General features: G+C 43.0%; 1 protein-coding gene across 1 annotated transcript in view; it reads left to right on the plus strand.

Moving 5' to 3' along the window:
- Nucleotides 1-25,596, plus strand: part of KIF26B (kinesin family member 26B) — a 554,448-nt gene that overhangs the window by 364,299 nt on the left and 164,553 nt on the right. Inside the window, exon 5 of the mRNA NM_018012.4 lies at nt 21,484-21,667. Coding sequence (NP_060482.2) covers nt 21,484-21,667 — 184 coding nt within the window. The remainder of the gene's footprint in view (nt 1-21,483; nt 21,668-25,596) is intronic.

The raw sequence follows: 25,596 nt of genomic DNA on the forward strand, positions 1-25,596 counted from the left end.
TGGCTCACACCTGTAATCTCAGCACTTTGGGAGGCTGAGGCAGGCGGATCACTTGAGGTTAGAAGTTCAAGACCAGCCTGGCCAACATGGTGAAACCCCATCTCTACTAAAAATACAAAAATTAGCCAGGTGTGATGGTGGGTGCCTGTAATTCCAGCTATTCTGGAGGCTGAGGCAAGAGAATTGCTTTAACTCAGGAGGCAGAGGCTGCAGTGAGTCGAGGTGGTACCACTGCACTCCAGCCTGGGTGACAGAGTAGAACCCCATCTCAAAAAAAAAAAAGAAAAGAAAAAATTAAGTATAGTCATGTGTCACTGAATGATGGGGATGTGTTCTGAGAAATGAATCATTAGGTGATTTTGTTGTTGTTTGAACATCATGGAGTGTACTTCCACAAATCTAGATGGTATAGCCTCCTACACACCTAGGCTAGAGGGTAGGACTGTTGCTGTACTGAATAGTGTAGCCATTTGTAACACAATGGTAAGTATTTGTGTCCCTAAACATATCTAAACACAGAAAAGGTACAGTAAAAATAAGATTATCTTATGGGACCACCAGTATATATGTGGTTCGTCCTTGACTGAAACGTTATACGGTGCATGACTGTATTTGGTTTAGCCCATGTTTTTATTTTGAAGAAATGCAGAACAAGTTTAAAATTGAATTGTTGAATTGTTGTCATTAGTTGATAGCCTAATAAGAACATATTGTTCAAGTACAAGAATATCATTGATTTAATTACCCTGAAAATATAATTTTGAAAAATATCTACATTTTTTAAAAATTAAATTTTCGTAGTGTAAACTAAAATTAAATACTCAACTAACTGAGAGAGAGAGAGAGAGAGAGAGAGAGAGAGAGCCCTTCCCCAGCTAGTCTGGCAGCAAGTGATTTCTAAAGGCCAGAAATAGGAAAAAAAAAATAATCGAATCAAATTGACTTTTGGAATTGTCCTTATGAAGCACAAGTCTACAACCTTTAACTCATAGAGAACACAGTGAGCATATCTGCTTTGACTGGCAACTTCAAAAAACCCCTCTCCCAGAGGCTTGGGAAAACACATGTTGGACACAGACTAATGATAATGTGGAACAATTATTACAATGAACACAATAATTGTATTTGTTTTATGAACATGATAGCCTGAAGAAACCCATACCAAGAAATATTTTACGTGTTGTCATCATTAAGAAGTCAGCAAACCTTAAAGACAAACACAATCTATTCATCCATCCATCCATCCATCCATCCATCCACCCATTCATCCATCCATCCACCCATTCATCCATCCATCCATCCATCCATCCATCCATCCACCCACCCACCCATCCATCCATCCATCCATCCATCCATCCATCCATCCATCCATCCATCCATTCTGTAAGTGTTTATTGAGTATCCACTGCATAGCATGCACCATTCCTGGCAGTTAAGAAAATAAAAGGCCTCACTCTCATGGAACTTACATCAGAAAGGGCAATATTAATGATCAGCCCTGACCACATGCCTTTCCCTATTAATGATCAGCCCGGACCACATGCCTTTCCCTTAGGGAACATTGTAGGATGAATGTTCCCTGTGGTCTGAATGTTTGTGTCTCCCTCTAAATTCATAAGCTGAAATCCTAACCCATAAGATGATGTCATTGTAACATTGTAGGGTGTATTTTAGTTGGTGTGGATATGGAGGCAGAAAAGCAAGGATACTGGTGAACCTGGGGAATGCTTAAGAGGTTGGACTGTGCTGTACCCGTTAAAAAGCAATAAACAGGCTGGGCGTGGTGGCTCACGCCTGTAATCCCAGCATTTTGGGAGGCCGAGGCGGGCGGATCACGAGGTCAGGAGATCAAGACCATCCTGGCTAACACGGTGAAACCCCGTCTTTACTAAAAATACAAAAAATTAGCCAGGTGTGGTGGCGAGCACCTGTAGTCCCAGCTACTCCGAAGGCTGAGGCAGGAGAATGGCGTGAACCCGGGAGGCGGAGCTTGCAGTGAGCCGAGATCGCACCACTGCACTCCATCCAGCCTGAGTGACAGAGCGAGACTCCGTCTTAAAAAAAAAAAAAAAGCAATAAACAGAATCTCATGCTTCTATACAATAAAAATAACCATCTTCCCTATAGATGATGAAGAGTCTGTTAATATAATCTGACAGGCTTGTTTTGGAAAATATTTAGATACTTATACATCCAGATATATTCCAAACCATAGCCTTGTAAAACCTCTGAGCTAGCGCAATCCTTGAGTATAAGTCTACCTCCACCTAGACCAATGTTTCCAAACCATTCTGTGGCTGGGAAGACTGGAAGGACCCCCAGGCTGACCCTGTTGGGAAGACATGCAACAAGGCTTACTTCTTCAGTGGTGTCAGTGATTTTGAGCCAGTTCTGACCATCCACTCATCCGTCTGTATTTGTGTAGTGCTCACTATAGACAAGGCAATTTTGGGGAATGCAGTTGTAGGAAAGATAGACATGGCTCCTGACCTTATGAAATGTTCAGTCTTGTGAGGAAGACACAAATAATTACAGCCCATTGTAAGAAGCGGTAAGGTGCTTTTGTACCCTTTTGGTCCATTTTTCTTTTTTTTTGTTTTGAGATGGAGTCTTGCTCTGTCACCCAGGCTGGATGGAGTGCAGTGGTGCGATCTCGGCTCACTGCAAGCTCTGCCTCCCGTGTTCACGCCATTCTCCTGCCTCAGCCTCCCAAGTAGCTGGGACTACAGGCACCCGCCACCATGCCCGGCTAATTTTTTGTATTTTTAGTAGAGACGGGGTTTCACCGTGTTAGCCAGGATGGTCTCGATCTCCTGACCTCATGATCTGCCCGCCTTGGCCTCCCAAAGTGCTGGGATTACAGGTGTGAGCCACCGCGCCCGGCCTGGTCCATTTTTCATCTTGACCATGGACCACGCTGGTAGATGCCTGGGGGCATGAGGGACATAGCAATCAGGCTCTGTCAGCCTTTGTGACCAGCACAACTTATTTCCAGTGCATTAAAGAAAATGATACTGCCTATGCCCAATTTAGATGTGGGCCAGCTGTGTTAGTTAGCTTAACACAGCATTTTGTTTTGCATATGTATTGATTTTGCGCACATGCTCTCTAAGTGCCTCAGAACACTGCCTACAGCATCCTGGTGAGGTTGACAATCAGTTGTCCTGTCCCTGTTCATCTGGCATGGGGACACACTGTCAGAGGAGGAACTACCAAGTAAGTAATTGCCTCCAGCACACAAAAACTGCAGACACATGGTTGACATAAGAATCTAGTTTCAGCTGGTGGTTTTCAGGGCAAAGCAACTGCACTAACAGGAGATTTCCCTGACAGCTGATTTAAGGCTGTGGAAGACCCCAGTTTATCAGCTCAAATTGAGAATGTCCTTTTTTGACTAGAAACGAGACCCTCCCAGCCAACTGCACAACCAAAACTTATATTCAGGATGTCCAGGACCTGAAACTGACATGGGAGTCAATATTCTACAGCCAGTTGTGGTGTCGACAGGGTCTGGGGGAAATCTTCAGAGCTGACTTGTGATGTAGCAGGGCTTACAGCAAAGGCATCCCTTTCACCTTGCTCTTTAGGATTCATATTCTAAGAAGCTGCTAAGAAAAAATGTCTAAACGGAGACACTTAGGATATAGTTTTCATATTAATGTTTTATTTTAACAATAATGGGAGCAAACACCTACCAGGTGTTTACTCTGCGTCAGGAACTGTTCTGATAATCTTATTTGAACTTTGCAACAATTCCATGAGGCTAGCTACTCTTACCATCCTGTTTTACAGCTGGGGAAACTGTGGCACAGGAAAGTTAAGGAACTTGACCATGGCCACAGAGCTCTGAGTGTCAGAAAGAAGATTTGAAACCACACAGTTGGCTTCGCATCCTGTACGCTTGACTATTTCTCTTTTCTGCCTCTCTTGGGAGAACTCTGAAATACTAAAGTACTATATTACTAAATAAATGCTTGCTAAAGCATTTATTTGGTCCCATATTCTCAATTTACACAATTCTTTTCTCCAATCACATTTCATTTTAGACTTTATGAGCCCTGTTGAAGTCATCAGCTTAAAAGTGCCCTTGAGCAATTCTCTACTCTAGATTGAGTTAAACAGAGTATCTGTAGATAATCTAGAATCACAGACAATACCTGTCTTAGTTCCTTTGGGTCGTTATAACAAAAATACCATAGTCTAAATTTATAAACAACGGAAGTTTATTTTGTACAGTTCTAGAGGCCGAGAAGTTAAAGATCAAGAGACCATCAGGTTCAGTGTCTGGTAAGGGCCCACTCTGGTTCACAGATGGTGCCTTCTCGCTGTGTCTTCACATGGCAGAAGGGGCAAACAAGCTCCCTGGGCTCCTTTTTTAAGGGCACTAATCCCATTCACCAGGGCTCCACCCTCATGACCTAATCACCTTCTAAATGCCCCATCTCCAAATACCATCATCTTGTGGGTTAGGATTTCAACTTATGAATTTAAAGAGGGACATAAACATTCAGACCACAGCAACATCTAATTTTGAGCCACCTAACTTTGAAAGAACAAGGATTGATTAATCCAATGTCAGCATACAGTATACCATTAGATGTGAGCCCCTCTTGGCAAACTTGATAAAAGTGTGAGAAAAAAATTACCTAGAAGACTAATAAATACAGAATAGTCACATATAATTTCTGTTTAAAGATTTATACCTTACCAATTTCCCCAAAATGATTTAACACAACTCATTAAATATTTGTAAAATAATTTAAATCTTAAAATATATATTGGGAACCAGTTAGGAGGAGAGAGAAAAAGACACCGGTTCCTAGACCAGCTTGGTTATTGTACTTGGACATTTCTTAGGCTCTGAATTTTATGGACGCTAAGGCAAATGGATCACAAAGGAGTAAAAGATAGGGGAAGGGAACAAAAGCATTTAGTGTGCTCCCACTGTGTGCAGATCATTCTGTTGGCCACTTTCCCATACCTTACGCCCTTTATTCTCACAACAGACCCTTGAGGTAGTTACCGTTATTTTCATCCACATCAAAGTATGTGGCAGAGGCAGGATTTGAACCAAGCCTATTTGACTCCAAAGCCTGTATGTATTTTTTTACTAGGTTTAGGTTTTATTATTCTTACCCAATAAAGTGACATATGATTTGTCTGGAGATACCTAGTCTTCCTTTGAGGATTTTTTAAAAAATGGATCCCTATGTAGAGAACATTGGGTAAAATCATAGTAACCTATGAAAAGTAGGTATTCAATCAATGTTTATGGAATAACATGAGTAAATAAATGCATGGATAATAAGATGAAGGATATCTTCTTTAATTTTATAAGCTAAGTAACTGTTTTTTGTAAATGCTTCTATGTTAACTATTAACCTCTATAAAAAACAAAGCCATATCTTAGCTTCATAATTCAGTCTAAGGCAGTTAGGTAAATACTTAACAATTTAATATTTTATGTTTTTTTCTTTCATAGTTTAATTTCTCAAAAGAATAGCCGAGGCCCCCCTTATCTTTACTTCTTCCACCCCTATTTACTTCTCAACCCACTGAAATGTGCTCCGTGTTTCCTCTGATTCTGTTCAAGGTCAATAATGAACTCATTAATTCTAATCCAAGGGACACTTTGCATTCTCTGTCTTTTTTGGTCTCTCAGGGGCATTTAACATTCTTAGCCACTTGTTCCGTCTTCCTCTTTACCTCTCTGGCTGCTCCTTTGTAATCTTCTCTTTTATATTCACTCATGAAGTATTGAGGATTTTCATGGATCTGTCACGGGTTGTGTTCTGCTTGCCTTCTACTCTGCACCTCCCTGGGTCATCTCATCCACTCTCATAACTCCAGCTGCCAGCTTCATGCAGAAGACTCTCAAATCTGAAAACTGGGATCAACTATTTTTTATATCCAAATACTCTAAATGAAGATCTAAGCCAAGACTGTCTATCTTGAAAGTAAGTTATTTCTGTCTATGGAGGCAAAGGCTCACGTAGGAAGTGAAGAATCTTATATATTTCTAAGCCATTTCTTGGCAGTCAGTCACGTATTAGGAGTCAGTTCTGTGTGTTTTTAAATACAGCATTGAACGACTCAGTGTTTGTTGTTATTAGTGATTTGTTGGACAGGATAGAGAGAAAGCACAGTTATTTAAAGATAAAGTGTTTGTAGCCCTTCTCAATTGAATAGCATACATACAGATAAGATGTCTGTGAAATTTTAATAGAAATCAATGTGAAATAAGATTCAATTTATAAAATCTCAAATTACAGGCAACTTGTCAAAGCCTAGCTGTTGTGTAAACGTGGGAATTCACACAAGGAAAAGATGATTGATTGGTTGATTGATTATATAACATGAGTTACATTCTATCCAATTGCACCTGAATATATTCACAGACGCAGCTGGATGGCTCTGATTTAGAGAACAAGTATTTTCTTCTTTTCACACAATCTGTTCCTAGAAGCGCCATCAAAACATAAATATTATTTTCTCATAATAATATAAGGCATAGTGATTTTATTCTTAGCCAAGGATTTAGTGTTGTAGAATTAGTTATAATTAACAATGTGTTAGTAAAGTTGAGATAGTATTTTAAACCTATCTGAGTACTTAAAATAATGTAATTTTGCTCCAGATTCTGCCAAAAAAAATGGAAATTATTTAACCTAGGATTCTAATAACTAACAGTATCCATAGCATTAAAAATTACCTTTACATATTGTAAATGTCACCTGCCTACAAATAACATGTCCATTAAAGTAAACATTACTTAAATATGCAGCTCAACAGGGCCTGGTTTCTTTACAATTAACTAGAAAATTTGAACTAAATCTTCCTGAAGATTTCTTCTCTATTAAAAACAAAAGCTGCCTCCTTTCCTTGCTTCACAGCTTTTTGGACCTGCCTGTGATGAGTGTCCTTTATTGCCCAGTGTAATTTTGCCATGGTTTTTAGCAATCTGCAAACACTCCAGCCCAGGTAACCTGACGGTAGCATAGACAGGAAAGGAGGGGATGTGAATTTCTGCCTCTCTGCCTCTAGTGGGGCTGCTAAGGTACCAGCCATCTAAACATCTGCCCAGGTCTTGGTGCAGTCCAGCTTTTCAGCAGAGTCAAGGGCAGAAATTCTGCCCGACTTCTGTGTCTGGTACCTATTTGTACAATGCAGAGGTCCCATGCAAATTGTTTTCCTTTGAAATAACCTTAATGATTTCTTCAGGTTTCAACTACAGTAAATAATTTGTTAAATAAAAATATTAGAATGAAAGGGGGGAAAAGAAATTACTTCCTCTAGCAAATGAGACTCTTAAATTCAAATTTAATTAACCAAGACGCCCCCAAACCACAGAGCATGTCACCCAGCGTTGACAATTAATTAGCTTTGCTCTGAAAGAGCTACAGGTACCCAGCAAAGAGTTACGGATTAAAGGCTTTACTCGCTCTGCGAAGGCTGCCCATTTCTAGCTATCACACCTTGATAGTGGTTTGTTGCTTCAGGCAACAAATTACATCTGAAGTGTGTGATTTCATGTCCGTTTTTAATTTCACACAATTGAAATATGGGAAAAGTGAAAATAAAGCTCTACTTCTTTTCAAAATAAAGCTCTATTTCTTTCAAAATAAAGACATTAAAAGTGAACAACACTACTTCTTTTCGGTTTCTCATGCTGTTCAAGATAATTTTCTATCAAACGGTGAAGGAAGATAAATACTAAGGAAAACTCTAAAGGAATGAGTGGTCACTCTTGGCTTTTAGGCGGGCTCTCTGTTTATGGTAGACCATTCAGCTTCTTCCTTTTAGCATTAAATTAGCATATGTATAAATGATTTAACTAGAAACTTGGAGCTAGCATCTAAAAGGCAGCATGGTGTAATGAAAAGAACATTAGATTCCTTCGATTCTTGAAATCAGATTATCTGGGATATGCTTATCCCTTGAAGGAATCTTAATTTTAGTTGGATAGTCCTTAAACTAGAAAAGATATACGTACATATTTTATAGACAATTGCTTCTCAGCCGAAAAATCAGGCACTGACATTCCATGAGGAATGGACTTTAATTAGCCGGTGATTGTCTTTCTCTGTCTATATTTATAGGCAACCGAAATAGCTGGGTTGTAGGTACATGGTTTCATCAATTCCATTTAATAAGACCAGCCAGTTCACTATCATTCATGTTCATGAAAGATAGGAATAACGTCAGTTAACTAAAATCATTTATATCTGGCTTTGGGATGGCTTTTTTTTTTTTTTTTTTTTTTTTTTTGAGATGGAGTCTGGCTATGTCGCCCAGGCTGGAGCGCAGTGGCGTGATCTCGGCTCACTGCAAGCTCCACCTCCCGGGTTCATGCCATTCTCCTGCCTCAGCCTCCCGAGTAGCTGGGACTACAGGCGCCTGCAACCACGCCCGGCTAATTTTTTGTATTTTTAGTAGAGACGGGGTTTCACCGCATTAGCCAGGATGGTCTCGATCTCCTGACCTCGTGATCCACCTGCCTCGGCCTCCGAAAGTGATGGGATTACAGACGTGAGCCACCGCGCCCGGCCCGGGATGGCTTTTTAATGCATGTTTAAATGGATCTGGTGTCTTAGGTGTTTACAGTTCTTTTAATTTATGTATTAAGCCCAGTTTCCATAATTGCATACTAGGTGGAACTTAGGAAAAGGCAAGAAGCTATTAAGTTTCCCTGGTACTAAGCAGGCCTGGGGGTGGGCAGATCAGGCCAGGAACATAAAGACCTGCAGTCAGGGAGCATCCGATAAGAACGGATTGATGGTCAAAAGGTCAGCTGGCACAGGGAAAAGTACGTGTGCACCTAAGTGCAGATGAAAAAGAAAGATCCACCCACACTGGCGCCGAGGCTTGCAAGTGGATGTCTGGCAAGCAAGCAGAAGCCGAGATGCAGATCAGGAAGCTAAAATAAAGAAGCTGGGGCATCTGGGAAGACCGAGACCCAGGGCTCCGCACAGGCTAAACAGCAGGAAGAAGAGCGAGTAGAATTGGGGTATAGGCGTGGCCAGGTCATCAGTTACCCAGGTGCACGGCGGCTGTCAGGAGGTCAGGCAGCAGGCAAAACTCTGTTCACAGGTAGGATAGTGTGAGGGATCCTGCCCGCTGTGCTTTCTCAAGTAGGGACTTTTTACCTCTCATTGTCCAACGTACTTCTGCTTTTCTCCTCCCTGATGAAGATCTTGTGACTGTGTACTGGCAGGTTGGAGCCCACCCCTCCAGGACAGCAGGGAGCAAAGGAAGGGTAGCTTTGTAGGTGTGGGTGGAGATAAATATTCATGCATGGGCAATGAAGCAGCTCTAAGCTATGGAATCACATGTCAACCCATATGTCACGTGGCATCAAAGGCAGTTTATACATTGGTAAAATGTTCCTTTGAACTTTTCTATTCCACAGGAATTGGGAATAAGTTTTGGGTTATTTCATCTTCCAGTGTCCTTAAAAATGTGGAGCATGCTCTCTCTTAAAAATATGAATGGTTGCTGTGGCTTAGAGCAAGTCGCCACCTTCCCGAGGTCATCCAACTCTCAGAAACAGAACTTCTCTGTTTTAATGAGTGTTTTTCTCTAGATCTTGACCTAGAACTTGTTGTCTAGGCAGTATCTGGGTCTGACTTACTAGGTTTGCTGGACAGACAGAAATAGAAAAGTGCAATGAGACAATCGATATGTTCTTAGGTGCCCACAGAGTGTGGCACCAACTTGTCAAGTTCTGGACAAAATTAGATTCATTAGTGCAGAAGTCCTCAACCTTCTCTTGGGTCCTGAAGCCCAGCTTTTGCAGATGGCGTCTTAGTCATTAGTAAGGCCGCTCCATCGGAGTCCCCGTCATACAAAATATTAAAGGAAGCTGTGAAGATCGGTTGCAGTGTCTGCTATCCTGCTGTCGTCTGGCCAGAGGTGAGCCGAGACTGTGGGGCAGCGGGGTACTGAGCAGCTGCTGTATAATGAGCCGAGAGGGGTTAACCCCTGGCAAGGCAAGCAGAAGAGTCATTCTTAACATGCTTAGAATCCCAATATTCATTGCAGCAGCTTCACCAACCCTGAAAAACCACAGCATCAGATGGTTTCTTAGTAAATACACTTATCAGAAACAGAGGCAGAGGGTGCTTCCCTTTGAACTTCTGAGACAAAAGCCCCCAGCAAGGCATGGATTCTGCCACCGACGGAGTATTTATTTGGTCTTTCTAAAATCCAGATCTCTGCAGCCAGGAAATAACAAACTCTTGCTTTGTACTTCTGTTTAGCCTTCCATGCCAATGACTATTTTTTTAATTAAATATTTTCTGCTTTATTTTTGTGTACAAAAGTGTCTATTTTCACACAGGGAACTTGGCTCAGCAAACATTCGTAGTTACTTGGCTTTAAACAAAGGAGAAGGTTTTACATTGAATAGCTTTTATTTAAAAATTGGTTTATACTATCGAAAGGAAACATTGAGGAAACCCCCCAGGGCATTTGGACTGGGCACAGATTTCTTGAGGAACACCCCACAAGCACAGGTAACCAAAGCAAAAACGGACAAATGGGATCACATCAGGTTAAAAAGCTGCCGCACAGCACAGGAAACAATCAACAAGGTGAAGAGACAACCCACAGAATGGGAGAAAATATTTGCAAACTATCCATCTGACAAGGGATTAATACCCAGAATATATAAGGAGCTCAAACAACTCTATGGAAAAAAAAATCTAATAATCCAATTTAAAAATGGGCAAAAGATCTGAATAGACATTTCTCGAAAGAAGACATACAAGTGGCAGACAGGTACATGAAAAGGTGCTCAACATCATTCATTGATCATCATAGAAATGCAAATCAAAACTACAATGAGATTATCATCTCACCACAGTTAAAATGGCTTTTATCCAAAAATCAGGCAATAACAAATGCTGGTGAGGATGTGGAGAAAAGGGAACCCTCATACACTGTGGATGGGAATGTAAATTAGTACAACCACTGTAGAGAACAGTTTGGAGCTTCCTCAAAAAACTAACAATTGAACTACCACGCAATCTAGCAATGGTAGTACTGGGTATTTATCCAAAGGATAGGAGGTCAGTATATCAAAGAGATAGCCAAGCTCCCATGTTTATTGCAGCACTATTCACAATAGTCAAGAGTTGGAAGCAATCTAAGCATCCATCAATAGACAAATGAATAAAGAAAAGGTGGTACATATACAGAATGGAGTACTCTTCAGCCATAAAGAAGAATGAGATCCTGCCATTTGCAACAACATGGATGGAACTGGAGGTCATTATGTTAAGTGAAATTAGCGAGGCCCAGAAAAACAGACTTCACATGTTTTTATGTGTGCTGCCCAGATGACACAATTCAGGAAAATCTTTCAGCTCCTACCAGAGAGTAAAGCTCTTCAGCTGTAGTGGGTTTACCTGCTGTGTGTCTTCAGGCTTCTCCCAGTTCTTTATCTCTGCTGTGGAGCCAATATAAAGTTATCAATAACATTTGGTGGTGTAGATGCTTCTCATCTGTGCAATTTAGGAGTAGACTCTAATACAGAGCAGCTGCTGGGTGAACCAAAGATGGCTTTAGTGATATTTATAGCTTATTGATTGCATAGTTCTTTGTCTGTGATTATCATTCAATAAATACTGATGGACTGAGTTTCCCGGAACACTGAGATTCGTTTTAAGCAGCTTCCAGCATTCTTTCTGTGTATGTGGGGGGAGGTTCAGGAGGCAGTAGAAGGTGGCCATAATAATGTTGTCTTGTGGTGGTAGTAGTTGTTATAATTTCCCTTTTATATCCTAATTCTGGCCACGACCTAACTCACTGTACTGAGACATTTTCCCCCTATAATATGGAGATATGTTGCTAAGCAACCAGATCAGTAATTGGTAAGTGCTTATGTATAATATGATTTGATTTGAGTTACATACAAAAATATGTAAATGGTTTTTTATCTTCATTATTAGATAAATGATTATCATTTGGTTTTATTTTGCCCAAATAAAATAACTGCTTTCATTTACCAAAATTAACATGATGTAGTAGAAAGGCCTTGGATTTAGAGGATGGAAACACGAATGCAAGTCCCAGGTCTGAGAGTCAGCAGCCCTGTGGCCATGGCTAAAGTCAGGGAACTTGCCAGGCCTCGTTCTTTTTTTTCAACCCGTAATGTGTGGTACAAATACCTTCTCTGCTGGCCTCCCAGGGCCAGGTTAAGGATGGATGTGATGATGTATAGAAAATGTTTTAAGAAAAAAAAAATCCAAGGTCTAAGCATTGTCTAGAATTCCAGGCTACTTAATCTTGGAACTCTGAGTCTGTTAGTATAATTCCAAAGGCTGGATTGACTAAGAAGTACTGTCCTCCAGCAGGGCACAGAGCCATAGGGCAGGTCTGCGCCTATAGAAGAAAGTAAACACATGGCATGGACCCTGAATAAGTGAACAGTGCAGTGATGGTGGCGAGGCAGAAGCAAAAGGCCACATGGTCAAGCACCCTGTCATTAAGCATTAAAACATAAGATAGATCATCTCAAGACCAACTGCTGGCCAGGTGCAGTGGCTCACACCTGTTATTCCTGCACTTTGGGAGGCTGAGATGAGAGGATCACTCGAGGCGAGGAGTTCAAGACCATCCTGGGCAACAAAGTGAGTCCCTGTCTCTACACAAAAAACCTTTTTCAATTAGCCAGGCATGATGGGGCACACCTGTAGTCCTCGCTACTCTCTAGGATCACTTCAGCCCAGAAGTTTGAGGCTGCAGTGGGCTATGATCATGCCACAGCACTCCAGCATGGTGACAGAGCCAGACCCTGTCCTTAAGAAAAAAACAAAGCAAACAACAAAAAGACAACTGCTATAAGACTTCAAGGGGAAGGACAATGATCCACGGGGGCTGAAGTCACTGATGAGGGCAACTTCTACAAGTCCTTGAAGCATAGGAAAATTCTTTTTTCTTTTCTTTTCTTTTCTTTTCTTTTCTTTTTTTTTTTTTTTGAGACAGAGTCTTGCTCTGTCGCCCAGGCTGGAGTGCAGTGGCGCGATCTCGGCTCACTGCAAGCTCTGCCTCCCGGGTTCACGCCATTCTCCTGCCTCAGCCTCCCGAGTAGCTGGGACTACAGGCGCCCGCCACCATGCCCAGCTAATTTTTTGTATTTTTGGTAGAGACGGGGTTTCATCGTGTTAGCCAGGATGGTCTCGATCTCCCGACCTCGTGATCCGCCTGCCTCGGCCTCCCAAAGTGCTGGGATTACAGGCGTGAGGGGAAATTTTTAAGGGTAAATTCACAGCGATGATTTCCATTGGTTAACTCTGTGCATTAACATGCAAATGTCAATCCATTTCCAAATGATAACAGTGCCTGGCTGTAGTATTTTAACATGATATTGTTTGAGGCTAATGGCCACCATGTTTGCCTCCTAGCAGTAAACATGTTATTTGAAGTCATGTCATGAATTACCTTCCTGCACTAATGAAATAGATAATTTACATAAAAATCAGGAAAAAAAAAACCCCAGCCCCATATGCTTTTCAATCTCTAGAGCCATGGAAATGACCTCCCTGACAGCCAATTAGAAAATACAAAGGTGAAGGTGGATGCTCTTATTCCCGATACGGAGAAGTTCCAGAATGACTAGCGTGCTTCTTGGCTATGCCCAAATACTTTTAAGTAGGTGTTATTTCATAATAAAGCATTAATGGTGTTTGTTACATGTGGATGAATATCTTCACTGTGTCTGGGAGCTCTGCCTCAGAACGTAGGATCTTGTTCCCTATCCCTGCTGTTTATAATCTGTTTTATTACCTTCTCCCACTGTGTCATGGACCGGATGGTTTTTCTAGGGGCTGCTGTGATCTGTCTTGTCATTGCTTATTATCAGATAGCCTTAATCCTCAGAACATTGAAATAGTTCTATAATGGCACGTGAGCCATGGCAGCCCACAGCAGCACTGGCCATTTTCACATGAAATGGCAGCCTGGATTGTCCTTTACATGCTGACAGGGGAGACTGTCCATCTGCCACCCCTGTCCTGGGTCGGGACCCTTTCTGTTCAGCAGGTGCAGTGGCTCTGAGAGTCTCACAGTTTTTCAGTTGATATCTCACCCATCAATTACCTGGGTTGGATTTGTAGAGCTCGAATGACCTCTTAAATTTTATAAACACTTTACCCACCTATTTGAGCATCCCACACTTGAGCACCCCTCAGACAAGATGAAATATTCTTAGGATAGGGTTAGGAACACACAGTATTCCTGAAACTTTTAAAGATATAGAGGTCCTTAAAAATTACCATATTGCCTGATTTTCCTGTCTGTGCCCCAAGGAAAGTTCTATTCTTCATGAAGCTAATAATTTTTAAAAGATTGCTAGGTCAATATTTTAGTAATCTTTAGACACTAAGGATAGGAGATTTCAATTTAATTCTCATGAGATGCACTTAGAATGACGGGTTTTCCATTTGAACACCCTGCAGTTCTCACAATCCAGGGTAATAGTCTGACAAATAGTCTATTATACAATTACAAAAAAAAAAAAGTCAAAATCAAGTTCCCCCTCTAATCTACATAATTGAGACCTAAGACTTTCCCTGCACTTAAAGCCATTGAATCCACCAGATGAGTGTGGACCTCATTTTTTTAGGTTTGGGTAGATCTGGCCAATGAGAGCAAGTAACCATCCTATGTGAAGTTCATTTCAGTTCTAAACTGATCCTTGAATTCAGATATTGTCATATTGATGCATTAGGAGAATTGTCTTGGGTGTGAGATGAGTGAGGCTATGGAGAGAAAGGACTGGCACTCAGAGGGAAGACTGAGCTTACTGGGACATTCTAGCCAAGGACAGGCTACTGCTCTTCTCCTCACTGCCTGATAATGCTCAGTGTGGCACCACTTTTTTTTTTTTTATTTCTGAGACAGAGTCTCGTGCTGTCCCCCAGGCTGGTGTGCAGTGGCGTGATCTTGGCTCACTGCAACCTCTGCCTCCCAGGTTCAAGCAATTCTCCTGCCTCAACCTCCTAAATAGCTAGGATTACAGGTGTGCGCCACCATGCCCAGCTAATTTTTGTATTTTCAATAGAGATGGGGTTTCACCATGTTAGCCAGGCTGGTCTTGAACTCCTGACCTCGTGATCTGCCTGCCTCGGCCTCCCAGAGTGCTGGGATTACAGGTGTGAGCCATCGCACCTGGCCCACTTTTTGTTTTTTTATAGGTGTTCAGGAAATATTAATTTCATCCTGCTAGAGAGACTTTTTCCTTGAAATAAGGCACAGATAATTATATGAAGCTAATGGATGTTTAAAGATGTATGCTGGGATAAATAGCTTTAGGAAATATATTGTACTATCCTTGGTAAGAATAAGACAAGTAGTTTTTAAGTTATGGTAGTTTTTAAGTTAATTTTTCTGCTACTGGAAATCTTATAAAACAACCCATTCATTTTTTCCTATGAAAGAAAGAACTTATCAGGCATTAATTACATAAAATATACTTCTAATCAAAATGTCTTTACCTTTTCTTTTTTTTTTTTTTGAGATGGAGTGTTGCTCTGTCACCCAGGCTGGAGTGCAGCAGCACGATCTCGGCTCACTGCAACCTCTACCTCCCAGGTTCAAGCGATTCTCCCACCTCAGCCACCCGAGTAGCTGGCATTACAGGCATGTGCCACCATGCTCGACTAGTTTTTGGATTTTAGCTGAGATGGGGGTCTCACCATGTTGGTCAGGCTGGTCTCGATCTCCTGACCTTAAGTGATCCACCCACCTCGGCCTCCCAAAGTGCTGGGATTACAGGCGTGAGCCACTGCACCTGGCCGTCTTTACCTTTTCAATTCTCTCATGACTGCCTCTCCTTTATGTCCCTAAATAATACAATTATACGTGAATGATTTCTCAACCTTAACCTTCTCTTCTCTGTGTCATTGAAGTGCTATATGAAAAGAACTGAAGCTGCTGACCTCTAAGACATTGGAATATATAAAAAAAGATCAAACAGCTGCTTATAATGATGTCAAAGATAAAATGCTATTATAGAATCTATGGCTGTAAAAATGTGATTTATATTAATTTTTAGTATTCTGAAAATTTCCTGATATATTTATTTTATACACACATTTTAAGAAAATAATTTTATATGCATTCTCAAGATGACTTCCTCTATCACTGTTTTTCTGCATTGAAGCCAACGGAGGCTTTCCTAAATGGAGTAGAGTCCAGGAGTCATTGCAGAATCTCTATACTGGAAATCATTCTGGTTCCCCACTGCACGCATCCCTCTCCCTCGTATTCCTGGTAAGCAGTTTTCTACCCACCATTTGGATATTTTCAGTGACAAAACACACTCACTATTTTATGAAGCCAACACATCACTAGTGGGTTATTCCAATTTTGAGAGAAATGTCGCTTATACTTATCAAGCTAAAGATGCTTTTATGTTTCACCTGCTGCTTTGGTACCTGTATTACATAGGTTTAACCCCTATTCAGATACAATACGGTACAATACAGGACACATAGGCCTAGATTCAGCCTTGGCTCTACTACTTATTATTTATTATATTCTTTCAAAGGATCATTGATTAGTGTACTAAATGCTTTACATGTACTGTCATTAAATTCTCATAAAAAGTCTAAAAAAGTAGGTATTATTTTTGCTTCATCTTCCTATGTGGAAACTGAGGCTTGATAATAATATTTATAATAGTGATGATGATGATGATAGCATTGTCATGTGCCAACTGTGTTCCAGGCACTGTGCTTGGGCCTTTATAAACATTATCAGAATTTAGGTAACTTCCCTAAGATTATCTACCTAGCATCTAGGAAGCTGGATGTTCAAACTAAGTCAGAAAGGCCTCAGGATTTAACTGCCTTGAGCTTCACTTGTTTGTCTGTTAAATGGGGGTAATATTGTTCTCCTCACGAGGGCTTCTGAGATTCAAAAAAATGGCTTATGAAAGTATCTGGCATCCTTGCTTGAAAGATACTTCCACATGTCATTTATTCATTTCTTTAAAGAGAGCTTTCTTGAAAGACTCTTTCCTTCCTCTTTCTCCAGGTTTCTTTTCTCCAGGCTAAATATCCCCAGCTCCTGTAGTCTTCGTTCATTCATTCAAAACATACCGTGAGCTCTCTTCCCTGGTAAAATTTACATTCTAGAGGGGAAACAGACAGTAAAGCAATAAACATGGTAACCAAGTAAAGCATCTGCTATGTTACAAGATAATAGGTGTCATGGTTGTGAACAACCAAGATAATGGAAATTAGGAGTCTGGGAGTGAGTGGTGTTTTATTGACTGTGGCTGTGTGACAAATTACCCCCAAAACTTAGTGGCTAAAAGCAGCAATGATCATTTATCATCTCTCGAGGTTTCTGGGGGTCTAAAATTCAGATAAGACTTAGTGGGTGTGATTTATCTCTGTTCCATGATGTCTGGGACCTCAGGCAGAAGACTTGAAGGATGGCATCTGGAATCCTCTAAAGGCTCATTCCTTCATATGTCTGGCAGTTGATACTGGCTGTCTTCTGGGGTCCTCAGTTCTTTTCCACTTGACCCTCTCCATGTGACCTGGGCTTCCTCACAGCATGGAAGCTGCGTTCCCACGGTGAGTGTCTCAAGAAAGGAAGCCAGGGAGAGGCCATTATTGCCTTTTGTATCCAAAGCTCAGAAGCTCTACAGCATCACTTCCATTACATTCTGTTGGCCAGGGCAATTTCAGAGTTTTGCTTGGGTTCAAGAAGGAACATAGACGCCCACCTCTCAAGGGGAGAGTATCAGTGTCAGGTTGTAAGAAGTGCCTGTGGGAGACACATGGATGCAGCCATCTTTGGAAAGGACTGTCTGCCATGATGGGCAAGGTAGGTTCACGGATAAGGTAACATTTGAGCGAAGATTTAAAGGAGATGAGGGAGTGAGCCATATGCCCATCTCCATCTCGGCAGAGCATTCCAGGCTGACTCAAGAGCCTGTGCAAAGGCCCTGAGATGGGGATTGGACCAAGAATATTTGGAGGCTAGGATGACTGGAGCAGAATCATCAAAGAAGAGAGTAGTAGGAAAAGTGGTCTGAGGGATATGGGGGGAAGGGACAGACCACGTAGGCTTTATAGGCCACTGCAAGTACTTTGGCTTTTACTCTGAGTGATATGGAGAGCCAAAGGGAGGGCCTTGAGCAGACTTAAATCTTAAAAGAGTTACTCTGGCTCCTTTGTGAATAGGCAGGTGGAGAGCGAGTACAGAAGATGGCAGACAAGTTAGGAGACTGTGGCAGCAATTCAGCAAGAGAAGTCTGTGGCTCTGACCAAGATGGTAGTAAAGGTGGTGAGAGGTGATGGGATCACAGATCTACTTTGAAGTTTTAGCCAACAAAACTTCCTGATGGATTATGTGTGAGAAGAAGACAGGTCAGCATCGAAGAAGTCATTGGAAGGATGGAATTGCCATTTTCTGATACAGGAAATGCTGAATGTGTAACAGCTTTGCAGGAAAAACATCAGGACTTCAGTTTTAGGGTTGGCAAGCTTGAGATGTTTATTAGATATCCAAGTGGAATTGTTGAAGAGGTAATTAGATACATAAATAAGGATTTCCAGAGAGGGATCTAAGCTGGAAATAAAAATTGATTAATCATAGGCATTAAGGATGTTATTTAAATCATGATCCTGGAAGAAAACACCAAGGGATTGAGTGAAGCAGTAAAGAGGACAAGGACTGAGCCCTGAGGCCTCCATCGTTAAGAAGCTGGGCAGAAGAGAAGGAACCAGCAAAGGAAACTGGAAAGGAATGGCCAGGGTGTCCTAGAAACCGAGCAGAAAGGGTATCAAGGAGGAAGGACCTACTCACTGCTCTGAGAGGTCAAGATGGGGCTGAGAACCATTAACTTGAGCAATCATGGTGGTCATTGGGAACCCAGACAAGAGCAGTTTCAGATGAGTCATGGGACACATGCCTGAATGGAATGAGCTTATAGATAATGGAAGGAGAGGGCCTGCAGAAGGCCAGCACAGACAACACTTTCCCTGAGTTTTGCGGCCAAGATGGGCAAGGAAGTAGAACAGTAGCTGGCTGGGGAAGAATCAGGAGAAGGATTTGTGTTTTATGTTTTAAGATGAGAGAAATAACAACATGTCTATGTGCTGTTGGGAATGATCTAGTAGCGTGAAAGTTTGTAGGAGGGAGAGGGAGGAGGGAAACCTTGGAGGGATATCCTGGGGTGTGCTTTACTTTCAGGGATCCTCGCTTTTCTCCTCAGCAGGGGATGTGTGGGGTGGGCCTGGGTGGCAGAGATAAGAAAAAGGAAAAAGCCATGAGGCTACTGCCCGTTCTAAGCTGCCTTTCAGTATCACTCCCTTCCCCTGTCTGTCTCTCCATGTGGACTGGGAACCCCAGCAGGTAGGGGAGTGGGAACCATAGCCATTGCCTGGTCCTTTTTACACTGTGAAAAGGAACCTTGAATGTAGATGGATAAACACCATCTTTTAGTTCCTGGCAGATCACTGTCTTCCTTCTTGTTCTAGTCCTCTGAGACATAGGCAGGCTGGCTTGAGAGCAGGGAGGGATCGCTGAGCAGAGGTGTGTGCGGGTGTTAGAAGGTGCCATGATGCCTTGTGCCAATGACTGACCTGGGATGAGTCACTGTTCATTTAGGGAGAGAATTTCAAAAGGAATGACTGGTCATTGAATAATTCCATTTCACCCTTGATTTTAGAAGGAAAGTGCCAGGAAGGGTAGCAATGAGATGAAAAAAAAAGTATTCCTAGGTTTTTCTTTTCACTGATTGAAAAGAAAGTGTCCCGTGCCTTCCCTTTCTCATCATCCTACAATAGGGTGACTTAGGGTATCTTCCCATCAAAATCAGTAATTCCTCACATATCTCTTCCCCCTGTATTTCACTCTTGTGAAACAGATTTTCAGTTTTACAGATGAGAACAATTAAGCTTTGAAATGGTAACACCATTTGCTATATTTGTGCAGTGGCAATTTTTTAGCTCAGAATTTATCAAAAGCATGACACTTAATGATACAGAATTAAAACCAGCTATCCCAGACCATTGAAGGAGACCGGGGTCGGGGAGGGAGAGGCGGTGCAAACGGTGTTGCTTTTGTCTTTCTGACCTGCTTCTCTCGTGATGTGTTCTGCAACTGGTAAGAACATTGGATGAATTATAAGATTTTAATCAGTAGAATAAAGTCAGGGCGGTCCTTTCATTTTAAGCAGCAGCTCAAACATTTGATGAGGAAATTAGAATCCTTAGAATAAGAGTTTAGTGTGTAAACATCAAGAATTCATCCAGAAATGAGTATATTAGAGTCTGTGAAATGCCTTCGCCTCACACTGCCCCTTCCCCTGTTTTCTTCTTCTTTTCTGTGATAAGATGATCATGGATTTGTTTTGTTTTTCTTTTGAGACGGAGTCTCACTCTGTCACCCAGCCTGGAGAGCAGTGGCGCTATCTGGGCTCACTGCAACCTCCGCCTCCTGGGTTCAAGCGATCCTCCTGCCTCAGCCTCCCGAATAGCTGGGATTACAGGCATGCACCACCACACCCGGCTAATTTTTGTATTTTTAGTAGAGATGGGGTTTCTCCATGTTGGCCAGGCTGGTCTCGAACTCCTGACCTCAGGTGAGCTGCCTGCCTCGGCCTCCCAAAGTGCTGGGATTACAGGTGTGAGCCACCGTGCCTGGCCAAGATTATCATGTTTTAAGTGTTACAGGACACTTGAATGATGGACGATGTCATTGGAACAGCCTATGTTATTAATGATGCCGGCAGCCTCCCCTCCCACCTTTCCCTGCCTTCACACTCTGTGCCCCCTTCAGTGCTTTGACCCCTTACTCCTCGCACTTGACCATGAATTGCATTTTGTATTTAAAGACCTCCCTGCACAATATCCTCTTATCTACGTAAGCAGCCCATAGCCTCAGCGCCCTGCACCCTGGTTGGAGTTCACCTTCTGATTTGGTGGTATATTTCTAAAACCAGTTTGATTTTTCCTGTTGCACTGGGGCTTGTGTTTTTCTTCCAGTGCCCTGTACATAGCATGCCTTGACTGGTCTCCACATCGTTCTTCATCAGACTGGTTTGGATTTTACAAGGTGTTAGAGTTTTTAAATTAGCTCATGAGGTCTCTCGCACCTGAGTTTATGCCAGAGAAGTTGTGGAGTGATGAACTTAATGGGTGCCCTTATCCCCAAAGATGCCCAGCTTTGTTCCTGCTTAAGCTGAATGTTGGTGGATAACACATCATTCTTTGTAAATCGTGATTGCAGAATCCTGCTATTTTATGGCTTTGTTTTTCCTTTTGTCGTATAAATGATTGGGTAGCTCGTTAACTTCACTCTGTTATAGTAAGGGACTGCTACAGAGGACACTGAGCAGGAGGAGAGAAGGAATGATTAGGCCTCAGAAAGAACGAGGGGTTGTTTAAGAGAAAACGAAGTAAGCCTAGCAGATCTGATCGTACAATCATTTTCCCCTTATTGTTCCTTTTTCCACTCCAGAGCTGCCCAGAAGTTAAATCTGTCTTCTAAAAAGAAGAAACATCGGCCTTCCACTTCTTCCGCTGCCGAACCACCGCTCTTTGCAACCAGCTTCAGTGGGATTCTGCAGACCTCCCCTCCCCCAGCCCCACCCTGCCTGCTGAGGGCTGTCAACAAGGTGAAGGACACCCCGGGGCTGGGCAAGGTAGGACCATCCGCCGTCCCTGCCATTTGCCCAGTGTGCGAGGTTCTGGATCAAGTTTCAGGAGGAAGAAAATGAGGCCTCCAATGTATTAAAATAAGACGTTGCCAGGGAGAAAAGGAGGCAAGATGAAATTCATTTGAAAGTCCTGAAAATTGTCATGGTTGCATACACTAAGTGGTAAACTAAGACCTTCAGATTGTAAGAGATCTGATTTGCTTTTGGTGGGAAAAATCAGCTTTGCATTGTTTGACAGAATCGTAGCCATTTAAAGAAAAGACACAAAGGCACAAAATATCGAGGCAGGGGCAGGAGACCGAGGGAGGCCACAGCACAAGGTACAGAAATGAGACGTAATGAGGCCTCATAATTTCCCTGTGACACTTTCGAGTTTTTGCCTCCTCTTCAGAGAAATCCTGACTTCTGCTTTGAAGCAGCCCACTGAGGGGATTGTGAGGAACGCTGCAGTCTTGCCTTTCTAGCCAACAAGTGCGATTTCGAATTGTTACAAATGCTCAGGAAGAGATGTAGGATCGTGCTTACAAGCTGTTGCTCAGCTACACTTGGGATCACTTTATTTTTAAATGTCATTTCTAAATTCTTTCTCCCTTCCGAGGAAAGCGTTTGGGTGAAGTAACTTACGGTTTACTCATCATTGGTGAATAAGCCAGGGCTCATACAAACATGTAGTGAAAGAAAGACGTGGCGGTTTAATTTTTTATTTTTATCAAAAGTAGGAGTGGTGCACACGACCTCACTGGTCCTTTACAGACTTATCGTGACTCCGGCCCTGGGCTTCATTTGGCCGCCGTTGCTAGTCTTGCTGAAGCTCCGGAGCAACTACTAAACTGTGGGGATTTAGATTTTACTTGTTCAGTTCGCAGACTGCCAGTCCCCTGGGTACCCAAACACGGTCATGGCTGGGTTTCTGGGCCTCAGAAGGCCTCTGTCTCTCTGGAGTCTCCCCTTGCACCCTCTACCCTCTCTTCTTTTCACCTTTCCCAGTTTCTCCCGTGTCCTTCCATGCTCTCCCACCCTCAATCTCACCACCTCGTTGGGAAGGTATTAACTTCATGTGGTACTTTTCCCAAGAAGAGTTTAAATTTTAAGATTACATGGAATAGGTCAGGCACTGTGGCTCACACCTGTAATCCCAGAGCTTTGGGAGGCCACAGCAAGAGAAGCACTTGAGGCTAGGAGTTCAAGACCAGCCTGGGTAACATAGCAAGACCCTGTCTCTACAAAAAATTTAAAAGTCAGCTGGGCACAGTGGCAGATGCCTGTAGTCCCAGCTACTCAGGAGGCTAAGGAGGGAGGATCACTTGAGCCCAGGAGTTAGAGGCTGCAGTGAGCAATGATCGTGCCACTGCACTCTAGCCTGGGCCACAGAGTGTCTCTATTTTTTGAAAACTTACATTGAACAGAGCAGTGCCTCCTCTGAGGGGAAGCATCCAGTCCTGGAGCTTTCCTTGGTGGTGGGCAGGGCAGACAGTTTTCAGCTGAGGGCTTTCCCAGGCCCAGCAGCAAAGTAAGACCCAAGGAGGCAGGGAAGTGGCCTGGGCTGTCTACAGGGCCTGCCCCAGCATCACTGGACATGGAAGCAGGTGGAAAAAACAGTGTGGACCAGGACTCCTGTCCAGGAGAGGACTCAGTGGGTGGGAGCCCCCGAGGAGGGGCCGTGGTACGCCACAGGGGCACACGGGTGTGATCGTGGATGGTTGATTCGCTGCCTTCTAAGGAGGGTGGGTCCAAGTAACTGCTGGGATCTTCTATTCTTTTTTACATTTTTTATTTTTAATTGTGGTAAGATACAGGTAACATAAAATGTACCATCTGAACTGCTTTTAAGTGTACATGGGCTCTTGTTTTGCAAAGAGGGATTTGGAACTTCAGTGCCGGAGCTGAACTGCTCTGGACACAGTGAAATCAAGCTGTCAGTGCAGTGACCTTCCCCTCCTGTACTCTAAGCCAGTTCTCTTCTGAATAAGTGTGAGCAAATGTTTAAGTGGTATCTCCTTGAAAAGGTGCCAGATGATCAGCCAGCCTGGGGTGCTCATGTACCCCAATACCGCCCTGTCCAGGGCACCTCAAAATGAAGCACATCAGAAACCGTCCTCCTGCACCTACAGTACTGGCCTTGTCTGTGGTTCCTACAAGGGTTGATGTGGATGCATCTTCAGGTGGCTCCGACCTCTCCCCCTCTATCCCTAATGACCTCCCTGGAATTCTGAGACAAGGACATCAGGGTGCCAAGGCCAGGGACCAAAACAGCAGAAAGAGTGTCCCAGCCAGCAGGATGACCCAGCACTGACACAAAAATAGTTTAGAGGGCAAAGGACACTGGTCCAATCTTGATTTCATGATGTACCATATGTAGTGACCACAGATAAGGGGCCTTACAATGAGGAGTTATGCTTGTTAGTAAACTAAAGTTTGCATTTCACACTTTTTTAAAAAAATTAAAGATATCTCTCTCACTGATTTGCAATCCAAAATGTAATCAAAGCCCTGAGTTCACCCATGAGACTGTGTCGAGGAGCGGGGCATCGGTCTGGGGTCACAGAACATCATAAGAGAAGGTGTGGCTTCCATCTGCCCAGTGGCCACGTGGCAGCTGAGGCCACCCTCCTGATCTGCTCAGGCTTCTGGGGCATGGGTAACAGTGAGGGGGAGGAAGTGACAGTTGGAGAGAATGTGTACCATGATTGGAACAAGAAGTTGGCTGGGCGCGGTGGCTCACGCCTGTAATCCAAGCACTTTGGGAGGCCGAGGCGGGCGGATCACGAGGTCAGGGGTTCGAGACCAGCCTGACCAACATGGTGAAACCCCGTCTCTACTAAAAATACAAAAATTAGCCAAGCTTGGCGGCACGTACCTGTAATCCCAGCTACTCAGGAGGCTGAGGCAGGAGAATCGCTTGAACCTGGGAGGCAGAGGTTGCAGTGAGCAGAGATCGCGCCACTGTACTCCAGCCTTGACGACAGAGCGAGACTCCATCTCAATAAAAAAGAAAAAGAAAAAGAAAAACGAGAAGTTGCCAAGACCCTGCCTCTTCCTGCACAGAGCATCTGGTTCTTCCATTTCAGCAGGCTCTTACTCTGCCCTACCATATGGTGCCAAACTGCCTGACCTCAGCGAAGGCCCATCCTCCCAGACTCCTGCTCTCTCCACCTCCACGGATATCTCACCATCATTAGGAACAGCAGTTCTTTATACCCATGTGGAAAAATTTCCATCAATTTATCTGTTGCATAATTTATATTTTAATATCACCAAGAAATACAGTGGAGTTTAATATAGAACATAAATAATTGGCGCTATATATAAATCGGCAGGTTTGAGGTAGACAAGTTTGATGGAATTCCCAAAAGCAAGTTGATTGATTATTTAAACCTGACCTGGAGTCTCCTAGAGTGGAGGAGGGGAGCAGGAATCTCCAACGCTTGAGATGGCCCTGAAGGTGAGAGTGTTGTCACCCAGCCGGACCACTGCCCCTCAGCCTCAGCCACCCACCACCTCCCTCTGGAAACCTGGGAGGCCTTCCTCCATAGGAACAGATTTCATGGGTTTATGTAGAGCAACTTCTTATTTAGTAGACAAGAAAACTGAGGCCCAGTGAAGGTAACAGGTTTTCCAGTGACTCCAGAAGCAGGGCAAGAAGTCAGGACCTTTCGGCCATTTTATTTCCTACTGTATCACTGGCTGTCACTAGATAAACATGACCCTTGACAATTTGGGGTGGAGACAAGAGTGTCATGGAACTGCAGTGGTAGCAAAATAACGTTGGGAACCAATTGCCTTTGTCCAGTGGGGAAAGACATACTTTTCAGAGTCAGGATTGGGAGAGGAAGGGGAATAACAGCCAAGAATAGATACACAGAATGAGGGAGAAGGGAGGCGTGCTATCCCATCCCTTCCCTCCTTCCCACTCC

Source organism: Homo sapiens, chromosome 1, assembly GCF_000001405.40.
Source record: "Homo sapiens chromosome 1, GRCh38.p14 Primary Assembly".
Lineage (NCBI taxonomy): Eukaryota > Metazoa > Chordata > Mammalia > Primates > Hominidae > Homo > Homo sapiens.